The following is a 24,152-nucleotide window of genomic DNA, read 5'->3' on the forward strand; positions in this document are numbered from 1 at the left end:
ATTCCCTCTTTTTCTATTGATTGGAATAGTTTCAGAAGGAATGGTACCAGCTCCTCTTTGTACTTCTGGTAGAATTTGGCTGTGAATCCATCTGGTTCTGGACTTTTTTTGGTTGGTAGGCTATTAATTATTGCCTCAATTTCAGAACCTGTTATGGTCTATTCAGGGATTCAACTTGTTCCTGGTTTAGTCTTGGGAGGGTGTATGTGTCCAGGAATTTATCCATTTCTTCTAGATTTTCTAGTTTATTTGCATAGAGGTGTTTATAGTATTCTCTGATGATGGTAGTTTGTATTTCTGTGGGATCAGTGGTGATATCCCCTTTATCATTTTTTATTGCATCTATTTGATTCTTCTCTCTTCTTTATTAATCTTGCTAGCAGTCTATCAATTTTGTTGATCTTTTCAAAAAACCGGCTCCTGGATTCATTGATTTTTTGAAGGGTTTTTTGTGTCTCTATCTCCTGCAGTTCTGCTCTGATCTTAGTTATTTCTTGCCTTCTGCTAGCTTTTGAATATGTTTGCTCTTGCTTTTCTAGTTCTTTTAATTGTGATGTTAGGGCATCAATTTTAGATCTTTCCTGCTTTCTCTTGTGGGTATTTAGTGCTATAAATTTCCCTCTACACACTGCTTTAAATGTGTCCCAGAGATTCTGGTATGTTGTGTCTTTGTTCTCACTGGTTTCAAAGAACATCTTTATTTCTGCCTTAATTTTGTTATGTACCCAGTAGTGATTCAGGAGCAGGTTGTTCAGTTTCCATGTAGTTGAGCGGTTTTGCATGAGTTTCTTAATCCTGAGTTCTAGTTTGATTGCACTGTGGTCTGAAAGACAGTTTGTTATAATTTCTGTTCTTTTACATTTGCTGAGGAGTGCTTTACTTCCAACTATGTGGTCAATTTTGGAATAAGTGTGATGTGGTGCTGAGAAGAATGTATATTCTGTTGATTTTGGATGGAGAGTTCTGTAGATGTCTATTAGGTCCACTTGGTGCAGAGTTGAGTTCAATTCCTGGATATCCGTGTTAACTTTCTGTCTCATTGATCTGTCTAATGTTGACAGTGGGGTGTTAAAGTCTCCCATTATTATTGTGTGGGAGTCTAAGTCTCTTTGTAGGTCTCTAAGGACTTGCTTTATGAATCTGGGTGCTCCTGTATTAGGTGCATATATATTTAGGATAGTTAGCTCTTCTTGTTGAATTGATCCCTTTACTATTATGTAATGGCCTTCTTTGTCTCTTTTGATCTTTGTTCGTTTAAATTCTGTTTTGTCAGAGACTAGGATTGCAACCCCTATTTTTTTTTTGTATTCCATTTGCTTGGTAGATCTTCCTCCATCCCTTTATTTTGAGCCTATGTGTGTCTCTGCACGTTAGATGGGTCTCCTGAATATAGCACAGTCATGGGTCTTGACTCTTTATCCAATTTGCCAGTCTGAGCCTTTTAATTGGAGCATTTAGCCCATTTACATTTAAGGTTAATATTGTTATGAGTGAATTTGATCCTGTCATTATGATGTTAGCTGGTTATTTTGCTCTTTAGTTGATGCAGTTTCTTCCTGGCATCGATGGTCTTTACAACTTGGCATGTTTTTGCAGTGGCTGGTACTGGTTGTTCCTTTCCATGTTTAGTGCTTCCTTCAGGAGCTCTTGTGAGGCAGGCCTGGTGGTGACAAAATCTCTCAGCATTTGCTTGTCTGCAAAGGATTTTATTTCTCCTTCACTTATGAAGCTTAGTTTGGCTGGATATGAAATTCTGGGTTGAAAATTCTTTAAGAATGTTGAATATTGTCCCCCACTCTCTTCTGGCTTGTAGAGTTTCTGCTGAGAGATCTACTGTTAGTCTGATGGGCTTCCCTTCGTGGGTAACCCAACCTTTGTCACTGGCTGCCCTTAACATTTTTTCCTTCGTTTCAACTTTGGTGAATCTGACAATTATGTGTCTTGGAGTTGCTCTTCTCAAGGAGTATCTTTGTGGCGTTCTCTGTATTTCCTGAATTTGAATGTTGGCCTGCCTTGCTAGGTTGCGGAAGTTCTCCTGGATAATATCCTGCAGAGTGTTTTCCAACTTGGTTCCATTCTCCCCGTCACTTTCAGGTACACCAATCAGACATAGATTTGGTCTTTTCACATAGTCCCATATTTCTTGGAGGCTTTGTTCATTTCTTTTTACTCTTTTTTCTCTATAATTCTCTTCTTGCTTCATTTCATTCGTTTGATCTTCCTTCACTGATACCCTTTCTTCCAGTTCATTGAGTCGGCTACTGAAGCTTGTGCATAAGTCATGTAGTTCTCGTGCCACGGTTTTCAGCTCCATCAGGTCATTTAAGGTCTTCTCTATGCTGTTTATTCCAGTTAGCCATTCGTCTAATCTTTTCTCAAGGTTTTTAGCTTCTTTGCAATGGGTTCGAGCATCCTCCTTTAGCTCGGAGAAGTTTGTTTTTAGCTGGGAGATGTTTGTTATTACCAATCGTGTGAAGCCTTCTTCTCTCAACTCGTCAAAGTCATTCTCCATCCAGCTTTGTTCCATTGCTGGTGAGGAGCTGTGTTCCTTTGGAGGAGAAGAGGTGCTCTGATTTTTAGATTTTTCAGCTTTTCTGCTCTGGTTTCTCCCCATCTTTGTGGTTTTATCTACCTTTGGTCTTTGATGATGGTGATGGACAGATTGGGTTTTGGTGTGGATGTCCTTACTGTTTGTTAGTTTTCCTTCTAACAGTCAGGACCCTCAGCTACAGGTCTGTTGGAGTTTGCTGGAGGTCCACTCCAGACCCTGTTTTCCTGGGTATCACCAGTGGAGGCTGCAGAAAAGCAAATATTCCAGAACGGCAAATGTTGCTGCCTGATCCTTCCTCTGGAAGCTTCCTCTCAGAGGGGTACCTGGCTGTATGAGGTGTCAGTCGGCCCCTTACTGGGAGGTGTCTCCCAGTTAGGCTACTTGGGGGTCAGGGACCCACTTGAGGAGGCAGTCTGTCCGTTCTCAGATCTCAAACTCAGTGCTGGGAGAACCACTACTCTCTTCAAAGCTGTCAGACAGGGACATTTAAGTCTGCAGAAGTTTCTGCTGCCTTTTGTTCCACTATGCCCTGCCCCCAGAGGTGGAGTCTACAGAAGCAGTCAGGCCTCCTTGAGCTGTGGTGGGCTCCACCCAGTTCGAGCTTCCTGGCCACTTTGTTTACCTACTCAAGCCTTGGCAATGGCGGGTGCCCCTCCCCCAGCCTCGCTGCCACCTTGCAGTTCGATCTCAGACTACTGTGCTAGCAGTGAGCGAGGCTCTGTGGGTGTGGGACCCTCTGAGACATGTGTGGGATATAATCTCCTGGTTTGCCGTTTGCTAAGAGCATTAGAAAAGAGCAGTATTAGGGTGGGAGTGTCCCGATTTCCCAGGTACCATCTGTCATGGCTTCCCTTGGCTAGGAAAGGGAATTCCCTGACCCCTTGTGCTTCCCTGGTGAGGCGATGCCCTGCCCTGCTCCATGGGCTGCACCCACTGTCTGACAAGCCCCAGTGAGATGAACCCAGTACCTCAGTTGGAAATGCAGAAATCACCCATCTTCTGCGTTGCTCACACTGGGAGCCGTAGATTGGATATGTTCCTATTCACCCATCTTGGAACCTTCCTTGTAGATTTTTTTAAGTACATAATCTAAAGAGCTGAAATTCTGCCTCTGCACAGATTCCCAAGAGTAGAGGCCACCTAATGGAAAAATTTCTGAAGTTCTCAAAAATTACTGTTCTCAAAAAATTTCTTTCTGGATGCATCCCCTATGTGTCACTACTCTGATGGAAGTAACATTAAGGCATACTGTACACCTTTAGCTGTAGCCTACTGGGAACAGAGAGGCTAGCACTGTGAAAACTAGGGGAACTGACTTGGTTGTAGAGGTCAAGACACCCTTAACAAGAGACTCAAAACAGCAGCCAGAAGCTAAGACACAGCCCCCAGAGGACATGATGAATCCAGGAAATGTTTCAACTAGCATTAATACTTACAGCTGTCAGACATGTTAGGTCAATCATAGTTAGAAGTTTTCAGAGAGCATGACAATTGGAATTCAGAAAGCCAGCAGTGGAGTGAATCTAGGTCATCTATTGTTTGCAATGGGCTACTCCAGTGATCACTTGGGGATATCTGGATGGGTCTGCTCTCCCAAAATAAAAATATCTAAGAAAAGTGTCAGCTAGCCAAGAAAGCTGCAGGCTCAATGCAAGATTCTGATGCCAGCAAGGAGACTGGAGGTGCTTGTCATGAATGCAGGCTGACTTCCGCCTTCAGTGACCCTTGCCCCAATTTCTTGGCTACTTGAGAAGTCTCTATTCAAGACTCACTCCCTCATGGAGTACCTATGTTTCAACTTCCCCTTCATTCTCAGTTGCTTAAAACAAAAGTAGCAATCCCAACTCCCTGCCTTTAAAAGTAAAGGAGATGTACTAATTTGAGCCAAACAGGAGACATTTGCTGCAGGAATTTTCAGTATCAACCAAAGCCAAATCTAGGTATGAGTTGGCCAACCAGGCCTCTTAAATTAAGGTTGATTTTTTGATGGGATGGGGAAAAACAGACCTTGAGTCCCCAAGCAAGAAAGTCCAGTTTAAAAAAAAAAAAAAAGAATTTGCAGGATGAGGAAAAACAGACCTTGAGCCCTCAAGCAAGAAATTGCAGTTAAAAAAAAAAAAAGTTTTTACAAGTTTTATCCTATGGTTCCTGCAAAACCAGGAACTGCCAACCAAGATGACTTCATCCATTGTCTTTTCTGGCCACACATTGCAGTGGTTCCTCCAGATGCTAAATTTTTCTGCTTTTGGGAGCCAAGAACATGCTTCCCATGCTTTTTCCATATTATTTTAAAAAATAGTTTGACTCAACCTTTAAGAATTTAAAATATTGCATTAGTAATGAGAAATCTGACTAGTTCCAGAGAGGAAAAAAAAATGAAATGAACAAAAGCCAGATTTTAAGCATTTTAAATTAAGAAAAAAACTTTATAGACTAGAATTTGGGCGTTAGGAACTGACTTCTTTCAAAACAAGAGGGAGCATAAGCATAGCTTCCAGGAAGGCTCTGAATGCCCTCTATGCAGCAGCTCCCTCTAGCTTTAAATTACTCATGGCTATACTTGGCTTTGAGCCTTAGGTTTTGTTGGAAGTCCATGGCAGATTTGGAAAGAGAACTTCAGATTTCTCACTTCTGAAACCCTGCTCATCTGTTTCTCCTGTCTCTGCCTCTGCAAGGAGGAAGCATGACTCAGGCAACACTCTGTCATCAACAGAAGAGAGGACTGACAAAGAACAGCTCCGATAAGTCCCTGGGGACTTGAACAGTGCCTTCCTATTCTTTAAAAAAATATCCTCTTAAGACATTTAACGTGGAGCCACCAGCACACAACCAAAGAAAATGGTCTTCAGGTTGAGATATGGCCAAGTGAAGCAATTTGTGGGAGAGGAAGAGACCCAACCATTAGCACAAATTATTCTGTCATTCAGGAAGGAAGCTGTGGAGGCTTCCTTATTTCTCATTTGTCTGGGTTTAAGTATCAGTCTACTAAATGCTCGTGGAGTGAAACCCTGTCTGTTTTTGATTCTTGGTATGAATATAGATAATGAAAGAGAGTTTCTAGATTATTTTCAGGAGTTTTCAATAGAAGATGTCAGAAATGTTTCCAAAGGCATAATAGGCTTGTGGCTGTCCATGTTCCAATAAGGAGCTCAACTTGATCCTTTAAAGTGATTCTTCCTGTGAAGAAAGCGGGCTCAGCAAGCACTGGATTGGTCACCCCAGTGGAGACAAAGGGGGCTACGTAAGTCCATGGAGAAGGGATGAAAACTATCTTGGAAAAAATTCAGCCAGAGCCCAAAGAGTCTTCTCCTGGCTTTGCAGAGGGCAAGACCGTCTGTAATGGAACTTCCTCATGATACTTTTGCCTTGGAAAGCATTATGTTTCTCTCCCCCTTGGGTGAATTCTTGCCTACTTTTAAATATCCAGAGTGGAGATAGACATTTTGTGCCTGAAATTACTGCTGTCTTGGTAGGTCTTCAGAATAAAACCAATGTAGCTAAGGGAGTAAGAAAGCTGCATTGGTATATATGGAATGTGGATTTTTATCAGATTGGTACAGAGTTTAACTGGGTATGATATAATCAGGAAATATTTTTATTTTTTCCCACCAATGCCTAGGACAGATTGCATCACTTTCAGTTCCATTTTAGCCGCTAATAAGTTGTCCCATCTTCAGGAGTTAAAAAAAATCTAATCCAGATCATTCTTTATATATATATACTTTAAGTTCTAGGGTACGTGTGCGTGTGCACAACGTGCAGGTTTTTTACATATGTATACATGTGCCATGTTGGTGTTCTGCACCCGTTAACTCGACGTTTACATTAGGTATATCTCCTAATGCTATCCCTCCCCACTCCCCCTACCCCATGACAGGCCCCGGTGTGCGATGTTCCCCTTCCTGTGTCCAAGTGTTCTCATTGTTCAATTCCTACCTATGAGTGAGAACATGCGGTGTTTGGTTTTCTGTCCTTGAGATAGTTTGCTCAGAATGATGGTTTCCAGCTTCATCCATGTCCCTACAAAGGACATGAACTCATCCTTTTTTATGGCTGCATAGTATTCCATGGTGTATATGTGCCACATTTTCTTAATCCAGTCTATCATTGATGGACATTTGGGTTGGTTCCAAGTCTTTGCTATTGTGAATAGTGCTGCAATAAACATACGTGTGCATGTGTCTTTATAGCAGCATGATTTATAATCCTTTGGGTATATACCCAGTAATGGGATGCCTGGGTCAAATGGTATTTCTAATTCTAGATCCTTGAGGAATCGCCACACTGTTTTCCACAATGGTTGAACTAGTTTACAGTCCCACCAACAGTGTAAAAGTGTTCCTATTTCTCCACATCCTCTCCAGCACCTGCTGTTTCCTGACTTTTTAATGATTGCCATTCTAACTGGTGTGAGATGGTATCTCATTGTGGTTTTGATTTGCATTTCTCTGATGGCCAGTGATAATGAGCATTTTTTCATGTGTCTGTTGGCTGCATAAATGTCTTCTTAAAAATCTAATCCAGATCAGTCTTAATCAAAACTTTAACCCTGCATCCAATTAAAACTTCTTTCCCCACCCAGCTCAGTCTTGCTTGGAAATTAGCATCTGGGGAGGAGTCATTGTCTTTTCCTATCACCTCACTCTACTCAGTGCCTACTTCTGGGTTCTCTAGGTACAAGAGTGATGACAGATAAAAGATAAAAGAATGTTTACTTCATTGGTGCTGTTTGCAGTGTTCTCTTGACTCCTGAAGAGCCTCTATTGTGTAAATACTGGCTTATTTTGTGAGAGACAGTAATGGGTACATTGAAGACCACTAAGAAGACCTCCTGTGGTACCATCTCTTAACCCAAACAATGCTTCCTCTGGTGAAGTATGGTGACCCCAGCCCCTTCAGTTCCTGCCCCATCAGTGTAACTCTGGGGACCCCCCTACGCCAACCAACAGTCTTTCAAGACAACTTGATCCTGGAACCTTTTACATATTTGTCTGATGCCTTGCGGGGCATACATTCTTGCCCCTCAAAACAATGCAAGGGAAGCTTACCCAGCCACTACCCCAGTTCTTCTTGCCCTACTACTGTGCACTGCCCCAGCCAACCTCCCACATTTAGACTTCTTCAGGGGACACCTGTGAAGCTTTCTAGTGAACTTGGCTCTTACAGCAGCCCAAGGCAAGCTAATGAGTTTCTGAACCCCAAAAGACATTCAGCTAGGGAATGTCATGTGACATGTTTTCCCCTTCAAGCAGACAACCCAAAGCCCATGAGAAGTTATCGTGGTATAACCCCAAAGTCTATGAGAAGTTATCATGGTTTTATTGCATCCTCTTCATTTGGCTAATGAAGGAGAGCAAAAAGAAATAACAACCTTTCCTCTTCTCTTGTCTCCTCCAAGTGGACTTGGATGATGGGTGCAGATATTACAAGGATAAGTCTGGTTCCTCCTGGAAAGTCCTGAATGCCGAGTTATTTTTCACCCATTGCCCTTGATAGTGAGGCAGGTTCATTCTGCTCATCATCTAGAAAGCCAATCACTGAGACAACAAGTTTTGCAGTATAGAATATATTGATTCACAGGGCAATCCAGTATGGAGATGAGAGAATAGCTCTCAAATCCACCTCTCCAAAGATAGGGTTGAAGGATATATATGGGGTAAAGAAGTGGATTGGCCTAAGACATAGGGAAAGGTGAACAACAGTGGGAAAAATGAGGTGGTCTGTGATCTGCCAAACAGTCAGGGTTCATGGCTCTTCATAAGACACATATTCAGAAAATGGTGGTGTTAGCATGATCTGAGGGAGGAGTTTTTGGCTCTATGACATCAAAAGGCCACCACTTGGGCATTTGCACAGGCCAAGTGGTCTCAACTGGTTCAAGCCGGACAAGAGCTGACCCTAAGTTCCTGAGAAACAACTTAAGCAATCAATGCATCAATACATCAGAGGTATTAATACATTAATCAATACATCAGAGGTATTATCTATAAGGAAGCTTGTGAAGGCTAAGTTACAGCATATAGCAGCCTGCTTTTCAGCAATGTAGGTTAAAAAATCAACAAGAAGCAAGTAACTAAAAAGATTAGACCTTGGTTTCACCATCAGCTTTAAGGCTTTAGCTGAAGTTGCAGTGAAGACAGAAAAATATCTTTCCATAGGCTGTTACACAGATTCTTCCTCTTTATGAATGAGGATTTACCCCAACTAGGACAGAAACATCAGAAGATGAAGTGACGGAGATGTCTGCTTCAGTGGTGATCTCCCCATCTCTACTGGATTTCTCTTTGGCTAATGCCAAGGGGTCCTTAGCTCTGGCCCTCCACCCAGAGTGATGTGTCTAATCCCAACCCTGTGTACCTTGATCCCTCTGCAGGACATTGGGTGTCCATTCCCCAAAGAAGCACCAACCAATTTTCAAGGGGCTTTTACACCACTTGGATGGGTCTTCAAGACTTTACTTCCATAAGACACTAAAACATTACATTATGAAAACTGGCTACATAAATACTAGAAATTGAAAATCCATAACCAGCAACATACATTCGTTCATTAAACATAAAATGTTTCTTTTAACTCCAAAAAACATCATCTGAAGCATTCAACCTAAAGCATACCAAAAGATGGGAGACAGTGTTGAACTTTATAAATGACATCCACTCTCAGTTACCCCCATGTGATTTATTGAGAGGAAAATGTTCATCTTCTCCCAGTTCAGTTTGTGCCTGGCTCACCTGCCCCTTGTGTTGGTGTGACATTAAGGAATAAAATCTAACTCAATATCATGCCTCAGAAGGAAGTAGATCGTTGATCTGCTCAAGGAAAAAGCCACATAAAGCACCCTAAAGCCAAATACTTGTCATTTCCAGGAATTTTTAGTAGAGAAAAGATTTATTCACAGTGCAGCCCAGCACAGAGATGGGAGCAAAGCTCTGGAGGAATCCTGTGACATTAAATTGTCTGTAACATAGTGAATTTGATAGGAAAAACCAAAGCAGTCATATGCTTGAATTCTTATACACATCAAACCTATTGAAAGTTGAAGGGATGGTTATATGTCATAACCACAGCATAAGGCAAGTTTAAGTTTGACCATTTCTTTTTCACGGTTCCCAGCACTGACAAAATAGGCATACACATGAATTATCAACTGGGATTCATTCTACACACTCTCGCAAGAAATGGGGACCATGACAAGGATATGGTGAGTAGGAGGGCAAGTAGAGGAGCTGAGCCTCAGCCAAGGTACACCACAGGACACTTTTCAGTCTGGGCCAGCCCTCTGGTATTAGTGCTCAATACCAGGAAAGGAGGAGAAGAAACAGTTGAGAGGGCAGGATACACAAGCTCTACCTAGCGTCACTCAGTGCCTTCAGAGAGATCAACTAGCTCCACCAGCCATATGAGTGGCAACAGGTTGCCTCAAGCCATTTGCACTATGGCTCTGCTCATTGTCCTCACTTGGGCACCTGCCTGGCCTCAGAACTCACAGTTCCCATCTGTCCCTGAACCCTGGCCTGGTCTCACTTTTCAGCCCACTCCCATTCCCAGGTTTCACATGTCAATGTGTTCTTCGCACTTGGACCTTTTAGGAAAGGCTTTAAAAGGCTCAAATTCACTAGTGCCTACTTGGAGAGGTCTAGTCAATTGCCCCTCACCATCCTATCCCCCTTTTTATTGACTGGGACTGACCCCATCTGGGAGTGTTTTCTCTGTCTCATTCACATCCTTTAAGATGCTATTCGTTTCCCAATTATTCTAAGCTAGGTGGAGCTGATGTTCAAAATATTCAACAACTGGTATATGGTACAGGCACCGACCAATCAGAACAGATTCTAACCATAAACAATCATCAGGGAAGGGGAGGCACACATCTACTAAATATATAGACCCCAAAGAAAGGACAAAGAAACTTAGGCTTGTGTTTGTGCCCATGGCTTTTCTTCTGCTGTTTCTCAAGTGTCCCACAACTGTGTAAAATTACAGCTAGCTTGACCAAGCACATCATTCAGAGATGAAACTCTGTGTTTGTGGGAAGAAAAAGCATTATATCTATATTTTTAGGTTTGGGGCTTTGTTTTGGGTTTTTTTTTATGTTTAGGTAATATAACTCCTAAATATGCATCTTCACATGTAGAAATGTCAATTTTAATAACAAAAGACAAACCCTGTCCACATTGCCATCATATCATGAAGCTACTAGGATCTCTCAAGAAAATCCATCCTCTGAATTGGGGTTTTGTCTACATTCAGGAGGTCAGGAAGAACTCCACTAGCCATCATAAGTTGTCCTCTTTACCACTCCGAGGGAACTATGCTAGCTGTCTTATTCCTCTCCAAATAAGAAAGTCTGATTGCTATCTGAGGAAGAAGCCCCCATCAAATACAGTTTCTCAAATATAAATTCTATTTTAGTGGGCAAAGGCTGCTTATTTGAGCAATCACGATTAAAGCAACAGCATTTCCTGGAAATAAAAGTGCATGCAGAGGTGTTTGGGAGCCCAAAGCATTATTGACACCAGCCGGAAATTAATCTCTAGAGGAAGCTCTTCTTCAAGTGTCTCTGTTAAGGGCTAAACACACCCTAAATGTAACTTCAGCATAGCCATGCTAACTGTTCCTCACACTCCCTGAGCTACCAGCCTGAGACAGGCATCAGCCCAGCAGAGCTTGGCATTATAGGACATCCATGGAGGCAGGGCCTGACTCTATTAGGTCATCTGCCCAACTTCTCCAGACTCTGCATATTTAAAACACACAAATTTCCTTTCCCTCCAAAAAAAAAATCCATGAATTTCTTGAATAATATTTACTGGAGAATAGGTATAGCAAAACATGTATAAATCAGGCTACTAATGTTAATTGTAAAACTGAAATTATAAACTTACCTGTTTTTGCCATAGTGTTTTGCCACCTTTGAAGCTTTGGTCTGAAATACACATATACACACATATATTTAGTCAGAGTATTTGAATAACCCAAAAGACAAAAGACTGCCAGTGGACAGCAACGTCTCACTAGGGCTATAGAGTACGATGCCTCTATCAGAGACCGAGGGCCTTGCTCATTCAATTCAGCATTTTGTGGGCATCTCTGGGGTACAATTAAGCCAATTTAGTCTGAAAGGAAAGCTGTTGGATCAATTAAAGGATAAGAATAAAATAACACATAACAAGAGTATTGGAAATGGTTTTGATTTTTTGGAAAACACGTAAGTGCATAATCTGAGGCTGGCAAGAAAACAGCCACACACGGCAAGAAATAAGAAGGAAGCCAACCACCACTGGAACCTCAGACATGAAGAGAAATGCTATTTCATACCAGTTTTGTTTGAATCGATGGGCCAGATTTTATACAGACTCCAAGAACCTGATACTGCTGTTAACAAGCTGCTTGTATCCATGGTTTTCTAAGAGATGCTCTGGACCTGAATTTAAATCTCACCCAAAAGATAATTATTATTCTTAGAACTAACTCCCTCTTCCTCATAAGTGACTCATGTGGGCCAGGTATGCAATATTTTGCTCTGAATATTTACATCTTCCTCTGGCAGAGGTTTGACTTTGGCCTTGGAGAAACGCCATTGATGAAGTTATAACCGAGAACACAATTTGGATCGGAGGCAGGTTTGGCCAAGCTGAGTTCCAGGGTCAAGTGTCTAGGAGAGGCAGGAATAGAGAGATAGATTAAACAGTGGTCAGGATGGGAGGGAACCAAGGATTCAAAGGCCTAATTCTCATCGGGCAAAGCTCTGGAGCCAAGTATCAGGCCAGATTGCAAGATGCACAGGGTACAAGTAGAAATGGGCTGCCTGGATGGGGTGGGTTGGGGGGACCCAAGGTAAAGAGGCAAACAATTGTGGATTGAAGATAGTGCACCAGCTTCCACCATCTCCTAGGAGGCGTTCTAAGTAGGGAGAGGCAAACAGCAAGGCAGCAAACCCTGGGATCAGATTGGACAGACGGTTTGCCACTTGTCCAAGTTTGATTGGGTAAACTCTGAAAAGTCTTCTTCCTTTTGCTACTGCTCAACTTTATTATCAACCTCTACAAATACATCAAGCATCTCTCTCTACATCACTGTTTTCATACAGTTTGACTTTCACCAGAGAAGTTTCCTGCTTTCCAGAACACTGGTGTGAATAACCTCTCAGTGCATCCACATTCCTACGCCAGCTCTCCATTTCCCCTTCCACACTCAGGCTCTCCAAACCCTAGTCTAGTTCCAAACTAAGCCAGGCCTGAAAGAAGGAAGTGGTTGAGTTGCTTCTGTTCACCCTCCTGTCCCTTCTGACCCCATCCCCCATCTGGTAGGGCATAGTGTTAAGCTGCCTGCCTGGAGACAGATGGAGGAGTGGTGCCCAGGCCACAACATTGTGCCTGGATCCATGCTGGCTGCTATTCCCTGAATTTCCTTGAATTTCCCTGACCTAGATACAACCTCATGATAAGAGTTTGCTGAGCCTTCCAGGAAAACTGTGCCCACCTACATAAACCTCAGCTGCAAGGATCTGTGGCTGGACTCAATGGTCCATAGTCTACCCTACCACACAGGTGATATTGGTGAAGGATCTACCCCTTCAGACACTCCCTACTGTGACCATGTCTTACAAAGTATAAATCACCTGATCGTGCTACCAAATTCTAATGTGTAACCCATCACCCTTTTAAGTCATGGCGTAAACTAGTACCATTTTTGTAGAATGGCATTGACATGTGTCTCCTTAAATAATATTCCAATAGCAACTGACTCCTTTTTCAGAAACAACAAGTTCACAGGCTCTGGAAGAGAAGGGAGGAAGAGCAAAGAGGAGTATTGTATAAATCATTCAACTAACAAGTGCCAAAAAGCTTTTTACATTCTTAATCACTGAACAGAAACATATGCATAGAATTTGCATTTAACCATGACTGTAGACAGGTTTGGGTGTATTTTGGTGTATTTGTCTCAGTGCCTCATGAGAGCACACAGTTGAATAATCAGGGAACTTACTTTAGAAGAGCACATTTTATTTGGGAGAAATCTGGAAGGGCACCGGCGTCAACGTATGGGACCCCTCCTCCCATGCTAAGCTTTCCAGAACAGTCCTGATTTCAAATATTCAGTCCTGTTGTATAACCAATTGATACTTCAACACTTTCTCATCCAAACTGCATCTCCTGACCATCTCACACACATAGGAGTCCATGTATCCTGATTTAGAGAGTTGGAAAAAAAATAGTGTCCATGGATACATTTCAGTAGAGATGTTTCTCCAACTTTGGGCTTTTCTAGCTAAAGCAGCCCTCTCTGCATAAGACTCTTCACTGCACAGATAAGAAGAGAGCTTCTCAAGCTTTTCTGAGAACCCTCAGAGAGCCAGTAGAAAACACCAGCCCTCTGACAGGAGTTGGGAGAGCATTAAAGCAGAAGGCTCTAGCGAGCACTCACACCAGCAGAAGGTGGGCAGAGGATGTGTGCCCTGGCACGAGGCTTGTCCAAGGGGGCAGGAAACTGGAAGAGACTTTGAACACTGGTAAGCTGCAATCATTGACAACTCAAATGAGACTGCCTTCTAGGGCCACTAAAAGCCTCCTTTTGACAAATTGGAATCAAATTATTTCAAGTGTGAAGTACTAAACTGTCCAATAGGACATATCCACAGAGTTTCCAAGTTGGCTCTCCCAGACACACAGGATACTAAGAGAACCATGTAGAAGGGTGAGACTCCCTGGCTCTTCCTTTACTGACCACTCAGCAAGATCCTTGACCTTGGCATTATCTGTATTATTGCAGTCTATCTTCCCAAGTCACGAATTTGCTACTTTTCTCATTCTGGGTCTGGGTGTAACCTTTTGGAGGTGCTCCTCTCAGCTTTGTAGTCTTCTCTAACTCATCCAGCAGCCACAGGGCCAGGTGAGAGGTGCTCCACTTTCCGTCTATTTCTGTTGGAGTTCACTCTGCTGGTAATGTGGCACCAGCCACTGCTACCTAGTTTGACAAGGAACTCTCCAATATGCATTCACCATACAGCTAGCATATCTCCAACCTTAGCATCCAATAGGTATCACAGATTTTGAGGAGCTATTAAAGGCATCTATCTATCCACTGTCCTCCACACATGGTGCAGAAGACAGATGGTACATGTTCTGGGGAGGGAAGAGTATCTTGCAAACAACAAACCAGGTCTGCCCACGAATAGACTTTTTGCACAACTCGCTGGATTTCTCCACCCAGAACATCCCTTCTGACATCAGCTCCATCACTTCCTAATATTCCCATTAACACTTCGACAACTGGCCAATACCTTAGGAGATTCCTAAACACCTCTGCTGTGCCAAAAAAAAAAGGTGAAAGTCAGTGGTCCTCAAATCAGGACCCATAGGTGGGCATCAATGGGTTGCTAAACACACTGAAATGGTATGCAATGTTTCTCATTTTTTTCTGCAAAAATGTTCTATAGCTTTCATCAGCTCTTATAGGAATCCATGACCCAAGTGATGTTAAGTTCTACTGCTTATGATATATTCCAGTCAAGTAGAAATTATCCTTTTTCTTTTTATGGAAAATAGGAGATACACCATTTTCCCGTGCCTAAACTGGGAAACCACTGCCAGAAGCCTTTTGAAGTAACCTAGGTCATAACCCAATAGCCTTCCAGTTCTGTCAAACTTTCTTCACAGGCACGGTCCTGTGACCAGCTGTCCATGGGTGCTGCTGTGCCTGATTCAATTAGTTCCTGGCTCTCTGCCCACATCTTCCGGTGACCCAGCTTGGGGTCCTAGATTTCATCACTAGGGAAGCATCTGTCTCCATGGGCACCATGGCCAACTTTGGTACCTACTTCCACCAGGAATGGCATAGACCACGAATTTCTGGGTGGTCTCTTTCCCATCTCTAGCACACCCTTCCATCAGGGGATACAGGAGCAGCCTGTTGTGATCGTTAAGTATGTTACTTAAAGGTAAGAGAGGGGTCAGCCCTGTCCCTGAACATTTAAATACAGCAAAGTGCACCTGTGCATTCCTCTTAAGAAGGCATATAGAAGACCACTGCATGCAAGAACAATACCCCATTAGTGGATTCACCCGGTGATAGCCTCCTGCTTAGTCCTGCCAAGACCTAACTGACTAATCATTTTCCCCTTCTTTCTGTGGCTCTTGATCTCAGGCAGGGACCCATTTCAATCACCTTATCTGGCTCAACAACCCATTCTGCTCTTGCCTTGCATGTTTCCTAGGTTTAGGCCCTGGCAAAGCACACTCTCTCAAACATTTTACCATATAGGAAATTCCACAGCCCAATCCTTCTAGACTCCCTCACTTCCCACCCTCTTTCCCCTCAGATCTACCTAGGAAGGTTTTTGAAAGAGTTTTCATATTTATGTGTTTTTCAGATACTTAGACCATTTAAGAGGAAAGGAGGGCATTTCAAGCATCAGTCCAGGCAGTAGATTTGCCCTCATTTTGCCATTTCAAATTTTTAAAAGCAAAGAAACTGAGTATCACGCTGAAGTGATTTTTTTTTCTTTTTCCCTGATGCAAGTTGGGGCTCGGGCTCTCGTGGGGTGGATGTTCAAATGCTTCCTTTTGATTTTGAGTAATGCAATGTCCAGGGAAGGCCTCCCTGTGCCCTGCGTTCTCCAGACCACCTAGCAGGCCAGACCTCATCCTGAAGTTGCTTCTTTCCCATATGGCTTTAGTGGCTCAGGATGACTGGTGGGACACCTATTGAGAGATAATTCCTAGCCATGCAGCTTTGCCCCCACATGAATGCCTGCTCCCTCTCACAGAGCAGAAATCCCCTGTGGGCCTCTGGAGTGCTGTCCCGGGTCCTGGTCTGCACATTCTCCTGAGGCACTTCGCAGCCCTTCCTGGGAATCATCCAAAATGAGGTGATTCCAGCCAGTTTAAGGTAAGAGCAGCCAGCAATTCAATCTACATACTGTTTCTTTGGAAATTAAACATGTATATAATTCAATGAACTGATCCTGAATAAATAGCATATTCTGATATACGCTACGGAGACAGAGGTGGAAAAGAAATCTCTGACTTAGCCCTGAGTTTTGATTTTTAGCCATTTGTTCTGCAAATGGAATTGAGTATACCACAAATTCTGTTCCCTCTCAGAGGCACCTTTCCTCACTTCCACCTCACAAAAGGATAACTGGGGCTGCTCTTGATTTTGGCTCTTCCTGGTCAGCGCATGGGGTTATCATTGCTCCAGCAGAGGCTGTCATGGTTTCTAAGAAGTTAACATTTTGCTGAATGAAACCATGGCAGAATTCCATCTGGGTGGCAAATTAAGCAGCCTGTGCATCCTCAGGGTGGGTGTGGGAGGGTCTAATTTCCATTGGCAATTTATGAAATAGCAGGAAAGAAAGGTTACTGGAAAGTAAGCCTTACAACAGATGCAGAGTTGATGGAGGCTGCAAAAAAGAAAAGGAAAACCACAACTCTCAAGCAGCCTTTTATTCCTTACTTTACTCACTTAGGAAAAGTTACTGTCACTGGCATGCCCAGCACTGGGTCCCTGCTCACACAGTGAACAGGCTCCATAGAGAAGACATTTTGACGGTAACATGTGAGAAAGGAGGCAGAGAGGAGGCAGGGGTGGGCTTGTGACATATGAGGCCCCATGTATGAGCAGAATCTCTTAGGGAAAGGGTCACACTTATAAAGCGAAGGCTACTGTATTTGAAACACCATTTCCCTTTTTGCTAAGAACTCACCGAAGGTCACGTTGAACAGAAGTCTTGAATGATCAATTCCATGAAATTTCCCAAGTTATCTATTTGAGTAGCACACTCACCACCAACACACAGCAAAGGTGGTAAATCCAGGAGAAAACCTAACAAGAGCAATTCATAGTCTCCTGGGTCCTAGCAGAGCTGGGAGCTGGGTGCACACTCCTCTAACCTTTGTATTCTTTTCATTCTTTCATGCCCAGTCTCAACATTTGAAGAAGGAAAAGAAATGTTATTTAAAATAATGGGGGATTACAGCTGCTTGTCTTCAAGGGGACATGGCATGATCCATCTCCCCATAGGTGGTTTTTCTGTACAGCTACCAATTTGGTGGATCTTGATGGAGCTTTTAGGATGTGAGAAGTTAAAGCCACTGAGTTAGTCTAAATGGGTGTTGATGGCAGTGACTGCTGCTGATACGGAAGGGAAGTGCTGGGAAGGGAAGAGTGTGGTCCCTTTAAATGATACAGAAGAGGGGAAAGGAAGTGCTGGCTAGAGGAGGGCATGGTCCCTGGCTAGGGCTCCACCTCTGGGCCTGTGCCCATGGACCTAGTTGAGGACAGGAATTTTTGTTTTCCTGCCCAAATGTTGCATTTCCCAAGACCACCCTGGCCTACCATGACCCCATCCTGTGCCTATAAAAACCCCCGAGAGCCTAGCGGGGAGACACACAGGCAGCTGAAGTCAAGAGGAGCACATCAGCGGAGGAACACACGGGCAGCTGGATGTTGAAAGGAACACACTGACAGGCACCAGCATCCCAGCAGGCCACCAACTGGCAGAATGACGGCAGAGTTTGCCTGGGGAAGTTGGAGGAGAGCTCTGGGGAAAACCATCCCCGGAGAGACTCCAGGGGACAATCCATCTCCCTTATGGCTCCTCCATCTGCTCAGAGCTCTTCCTCCAGTGACACTTCTCAGTGAAACCCAAGTGATTCTCCAAGCCCATGTGTGATCCAATTCTTCCGGTACACAAAGGCAAGAACCCCAGGATACAGAAAGCCCTCTGTCCATGTGATAAGGCAGGGGTCTAACTGAGCTGACTAACACAGCCACCTATGGACCCTAACAGAGTCTACTGTAACACATGCCCACTGGGGTTTCAGTTGTGAACACTCAAGCCCTAGACGTTGTCGTGGAGTCAGAGCCCCACAGCCTGCCCGTCTGTATGCTCCCCTAGAGGCTGGAGCAGCAAGGCACTGAAGAAGCGAGTCATATCCCATCATATGCCCTGCGAGGAGGACAAGGAAACTTCCCATTACAACTGGGGATCGTCTGGGATCGCAGAAGGTAAGTGTGAGCAAACATGAAACTGTCAGGTCTGCCTTTCTTTCAAAACCCTGCCACCTCTCTCTCTTTCCTGCAGGTAAGAGGCTCTGTTTTTCTTTCGTCTCTTTCCTCTCTCACACACAATTTGAAATGGCTCTTATCTCTTTCTTTACAATGTTAAGAGTTTTGCTACAGGCTGCAGCAATGTTACTAAGTAAAATAAGTGTTTGGCTCAGCCACAAAGGTGCAAATCAGACCAATTTTTTCTAGAGGTGCCATGTATGCCTCCACCTTGGCAGCTGCAGGCACACACGGTTCAAGGCACCTCTTCTTACTCTTTCCCCTCCCAGCTTGGGCACCTGGGTGTGCCCACAACAGGCAAAGGCAGAGTCCAACAACCATGAGGGGGGCGGGAGGAAGCCGAGGTGATAGCCAGGACCCTACAGGGTGCTTCTTGCCCACTGAGTCAATGGGAACCTTTCCTCCCCTGGCCAAGAAATTCAACCTGGTCTGAACTGGGAAAAGGATGGGAAAGTTATAAGGATTAGAGGGGCCCACTTGCACTAAGCAAGGGGTTCTTCCCCAAGCATTCTCCCCTTTTTTGCCCCTTTAAATGTTTTTCCCTTTTTTTCCTTTTCTAAGTGAGAGGGCCTCCCCCCGCCCACAACACTCTGTTTCTAATAGGGAAATTAACAGAGGAGCAACCCCTGCTGGCTAGAAGAGCAAATTCTGCAGGGCTTATTTGAGACACTAAGTGGATACAAACATCCTCCGAGATGACTTTTTAGTCCCAAACTCAATTCCAAGCTTAGGCTGAGGCCCTAGAAAGAAAGAACAGGTCTGAGGAATCCAAATTCAGGCAAACAGGCACAATGTAAATGAGCAGGACCAATTTCTGCTGACTGAACCCCACCTCAAGGAAGAAGGCCATGCTTCATGGCATAAACAAGCCCAGGGAACTCGAAGTTTGCCAACAGCAGGGAGAAAGGAAGGTACAGGTGAGGGTGGTTAATTCCTATTATCCAGGTTTTCCCTGCTTCATGGGTACATACTACATTGTTACCTGGGGCCAGCCAGCACCTGCCAAGGTCGCCGGGGCTCAGGGACAAGAGGTGGAAAGTGAAAGGAGGATGCTCGCGTTCTCTCTCCATCACGCCCTGAGTTTTCACTGGAAGGAGGAAGGGAAATGAGGGACACTTCTATTCTCTGTCTTTCAGAATGTGCAACCAGTTCTCTTCACCATCCCCAGCTTATACTCCTCTAAAGTGTATCCTGAACAATTGGGACTGCTTTGATCCTCAGAATCTGGAGGAAAATGGCCTCATAGCCCTCTGCACAAAGGTTTGGCCAAATTATGATTTACAGGAAGGACTGGCTTGGGCTCAGGAAGGAACCATTCACTACAATGGCATTCAACAATTAGAACTCTTCTGTAGATGTGAGGATAGACAGTTCTGAGGCCGATATGTACAGGTTTCTATACCTTGCAAGGCAATACAGACCTTTGCCAACAATGTAGGATTGATCTAGCCCTCCTGTTTGCCATCTCAGGAAAGGCTGAAAGGGGCAAGCCCAGGGAATTAATTAAAGATACTAGTCCCAGAGGCACTCCCAGCAGAGGAGCCAGCTCCCTCAAGCCCTGCTCCTCCGGGTCCACCCCAACCTCCCTATCCAGCCTCAGCCTCTCACTTGCCCCCTCATAGAAATCCCAAATTATGATTTACAGGAAGGACTGGCTTGGCCTCAGGAAGGAACCATTCATTACAATACCATCCAGCAATTGAAACATTTCTATAGATGTGAGGATAGACGGTTCTGAGGCCCATGTGAGCAGGCTGTCTATACCTTGCAAGGCAATCCAGGCCTTTGGCCAACAATATAGGATTGATCCAGACCTCCTGCTTGCCATCTCAGGAAAGGCTGCAAGGGGCAAGCCCAGGCAATTAAAGATACAAGTCCCAGAGGCACTCCCAGCAAAGGAGCCAGCTCCCTCAAGTCCTGCTCCTCTGGGTCCACCCCGACCTCCCTATCCAGCTTCAGCCTCTCACTTGCCCCCTCCAAGAAATCCTCACCCTAAACAAGCCCCAGTCTCACTCTTGCCCCTACAACAGATGCCCAGTGAATTTAGGCCCAGTGATGTCCAGGTCCCCTTCTCCCTACAGGACTTAAAGCAAATTAAGGGGGATCTTGGCAAGTTTTCAGGTGACTCTGATAGATATACAGAGGCTTTAATGGCCACCATGCAAGCCCACAAACCCCAGAATTCCAGGGGGCACCTGTTGACTGCTAAAGATATGGCAAGAACAGATATCTCTCTTCTAAAGTTTATCTGCTCCAACACAAGGTTTAATTTCCTTCACCAGGGTGAAACAGCCTGGGGCACAATGTTGTTGTTATCTCTGTAATCTTTGGCACTAAATTCTTTCCTTGTATAATACACATGTTGAACCCACGCATACTTAACCTTATGAAACTTTTTCTTCCTCTCACTCCTAGAATCCATTGGCTCCCTTTGCTTGGAACCCTTAGATAGACCTCTGGGAGGAATCTGACTGCCGTTCTCCCCAAAAACAAATGCCCCCTGTCTGTGGGAAGCACTTAGGACTAATCATCATCCGTATTCTAATGGCAATTAGGTGTACCTCTTCAGAGGGTAGAAATGATCCAGAAGGGAACTGCTGGAAATGGAAGAGCATGGTCCCTTTAAATGATATCGAAGTGGGGGAAGAGAAGTGCTGGGTAGAAAAGGGCATGGTCTGTGGCTAGAGTTCCATCCCCGGACCTGTGCCTATGGATCTAAGTGTGGACAGGAATTTTTGTTTTCCTGCCCTATGGTTGCATTACCCAAGACCAACCTGGCCTACCATGCCCCTATCCTGTGTCTATAAAAACCCCTGAGACCCTAGCTACTTCCACTCAATAAAACCTGGCACTCATTCTCCAAGACCCTAGCAGATAGACACACAGGTGCTGGACATAAGGAAGAGCACCACCAGTGAAGAAAGACATGCACACGGGTATCGGGACATTGAGAGGCGCACACCGACAGGCACCAGCGTGCTGGCAGGCCACCAACCAGCGGAACAATGCGGAGTTTGGCTGGGGCAGTTGGAGGAGAGCTAGGGCCACCAACTGGCCCAACTCCAGGGAAAAATCATCTCCCTTCTGGCTCCCCCATCTGCTGAGAGCTACTTCCACTTAATAAAACCTTGCACTCCTTCTCCAAGCCCACATGTGATCTGATTCTTCCAGTACACCAAGGCAAGAACCCCAGGACAGAGAAAGCCCTCTGTCCTTGGGATAAGGCAGGGATCTAATTGTGCTGGCTAACACAGCTGCCTATGGATGGCAAAACTAAAAGAGTATCCTGTAACACACACCCACTGGGGCTTTAGCTTTAAACATTCACCCCTAGACACTGCTGTGGGATCAGAGCCCCACAGCCCGCCTGTCTGTATGCTCCCCTAGAGGTCTGAGCAGCGGGGCATTGAAGAATCAAGTCACACCTGCATCACATGCCTTGCGAGGGGGGACAAGGGAACTTTTCCCATTTCACTACTACCATGCTGGCTGCAGCAGGGAGTTGCGACTCAGCCTGTACACTCCATGGAGTTCCCTGGGCACCACTGCAGCAGTCCCAGGCCTCCTGGTCTATGGGCCAAGCTGCAGCTGCAGATCCAGGCCTCCTGGTCTATGGGCAGCCGCCCAAACTACAGCTGTGGGTCCGAGCCTCCCTGTGCTCTTGTGGGGAACCGGAAGCAGGCAGGATCTGCCCTCTGGGGTGCAGCTTCAGCTGCCCAACCAGCAGCTGCAGACCTGGGCCTCCCACTCCATGGAGCAGGCAGGAGCCAGGGACAATCGGGAGCTCTGCCCCTTCCAAGTTGGTGGGGTGGGAGCTCCCTGGGTGTAGCTGCAGCTGCCCTCCCAGGCACGAGACCTGAGCATCTCTGTAGTCTGCCTCCTTGGGGGTGGGAAGGCCCTCCCCACTGATGGCCCTGTTGGCTCTGGGCTGTCTGCTCCCATTGTCTGGCCTCGTTCCTCTCCTGGCACCTGCTTCCATCCTGGAGTGAGGTTGTGGCTGAGCCCTGGGGCCATTAATACCAGCAGAAGGCAGATTGATTCCTCGGTGGGAAAGGGTTGGTCTCCAGTAAGGCCCCACTTTCAGGCCAGGAGGTTGGGGGCTGGGCTGCCAGTCCCACTGACCAGAGTGGGGTCTCATAATACCTCTTCTGGACCCACCCGTGGCTGCCCATGGATCAATCAGCAGACACTTTTTCCCCTCTGAGGTCCATAAAAGCCCAGGGCTCAGCCAGAGTAGGGCACAGGATGGCCTGAGTCAGAGAGACAACTGCAGAGGAGGACCAGCTGCAGAGAGGAGGTACCCTCTCTGCTGAGATCAGGAGAGACATCAGGATGACCAGTGAGCAGAGAGGAGCTACCCTCTCCAGGGCCTCTGCTCTGCTGAGAGCTGAACACTCCACAGGACAACCAGCCTATAGAGAGGACTTATCCACTCTAGGCCTCCTCTGAGCTGTTCTAACACTTTATAAAGCTCATCTTCATTTTGTTCACCCTTCACTTGTCACTCTTCATTTATCTATATACCTCATTCTTTCTGGATGTAGGACAAGAACTCAGGCAAACGCACCACTGGCGACAGAGGTTTCTGGCCAGAAAATTGATGCCCCAAAGATCCCATAACAGTGTGGTTTCTTGTGGAAGCCAAAGAGAGCTAAACTGCTTTGCTTAATGGAGCAACCAGAATCTTGGAGCTGTCTGTAGATGCCACCAGTTTGGGGAGTAGTGGGTGGAGTAGGGATCTTAGAAGAAATGGATGAGGTGGACAAGTAGTAAGGAAAACAGGAATGAAGGACACCTAGGGAGAGTGCCAGTTAAGTCCCCATAGCCTGAAATAATTTATGAATTTTGTTTTCTATTCTATGCAGTGACAAAAGCCCTTCTGTTAACCCAAAACCTTCAGCTACAGAAACAGAAGTAGCTTTTTCACTCTGGGATGACAAGAGCAAAAAACAAAGAGCTACAAGGTGCCAGGAAACTGAAAAAGGGAATTCAGTAGGATCAGGAAAATGGATAAATGAAAGAACTGGAGAAATTCAAGGCTCATAAGAAGTCCTTGGATGCATTTGGGAAGATGCAATCTCTGCAGGGTCCAAGAATGGGGGCTCCAGCCAGGCAATTTTGTTACTATAGGAGAGAACTGTTGATCTGGAAGACAGGAAGATCCAGGGCCTGAGTTACTAAAACATGAAAGTTGCTAAGTGCAGTGAAGGTTCTCCCTGCTCCTTTCATCCAATTCTCATGTTGCTTCTGCTGTTTCAATCTAATCCCTTATCCTCAACCTTAGTCAGGGGCCCTCTTTCTTTAGTGCATTCTTCTAACATTAAATCAACATGAGGATCATTCCCTAATTTGGGAAAGACAGTGATTGGAAATCAGCATTACTCTTTTCATCCCCAAAATATCACATTCTACTCCATCCTTGGATATTAATGCCTTCCTTGCCTTCTGAGGTGCTTGTCCTTGCACCATTTCTAATCCACATATTCTCAGATTTCTCTCTTCTCCCTTTTCTTCCCTTTCTTCTTTCATT

The 24,152-nt window shown here is 44.9% G+C and overlaps 1 long non-coding RNA gene across 1 annotated transcript; it reads left to right on the forward strand.

The window, feature by feature from the left end:
* Window positions 1-17,844: 17,844 nt before the first annotated feature.
* LOC107984699 (uncharacterized) lies at window positions 17,845-21,767 on the forward strand. Its single transcript, XR_001750851.2, has 2 exons — window positions 17,845-18,562; window positions 19,759-21,767. It is a non-coding gene; the product is annotated as an uncharacterized LOC107984699 (long non-coding RNA).
* Window positions 21,768-24,152: the final 2,385 nt, after the last annotated feature.

This window comes from Homo sapiens, chromosome 14, assembly GCF_000001405.40.
Source record: "Homo sapiens chromosome 14, GRCh38.p14 Primary Assembly".
In the NCBI taxonomy this organism is placed as follows: domain Eukaryota; kingdom Metazoa; phylum Chordata; class Mammalia; order Primates; family Hominidae; genus Homo; species Homo sapiens.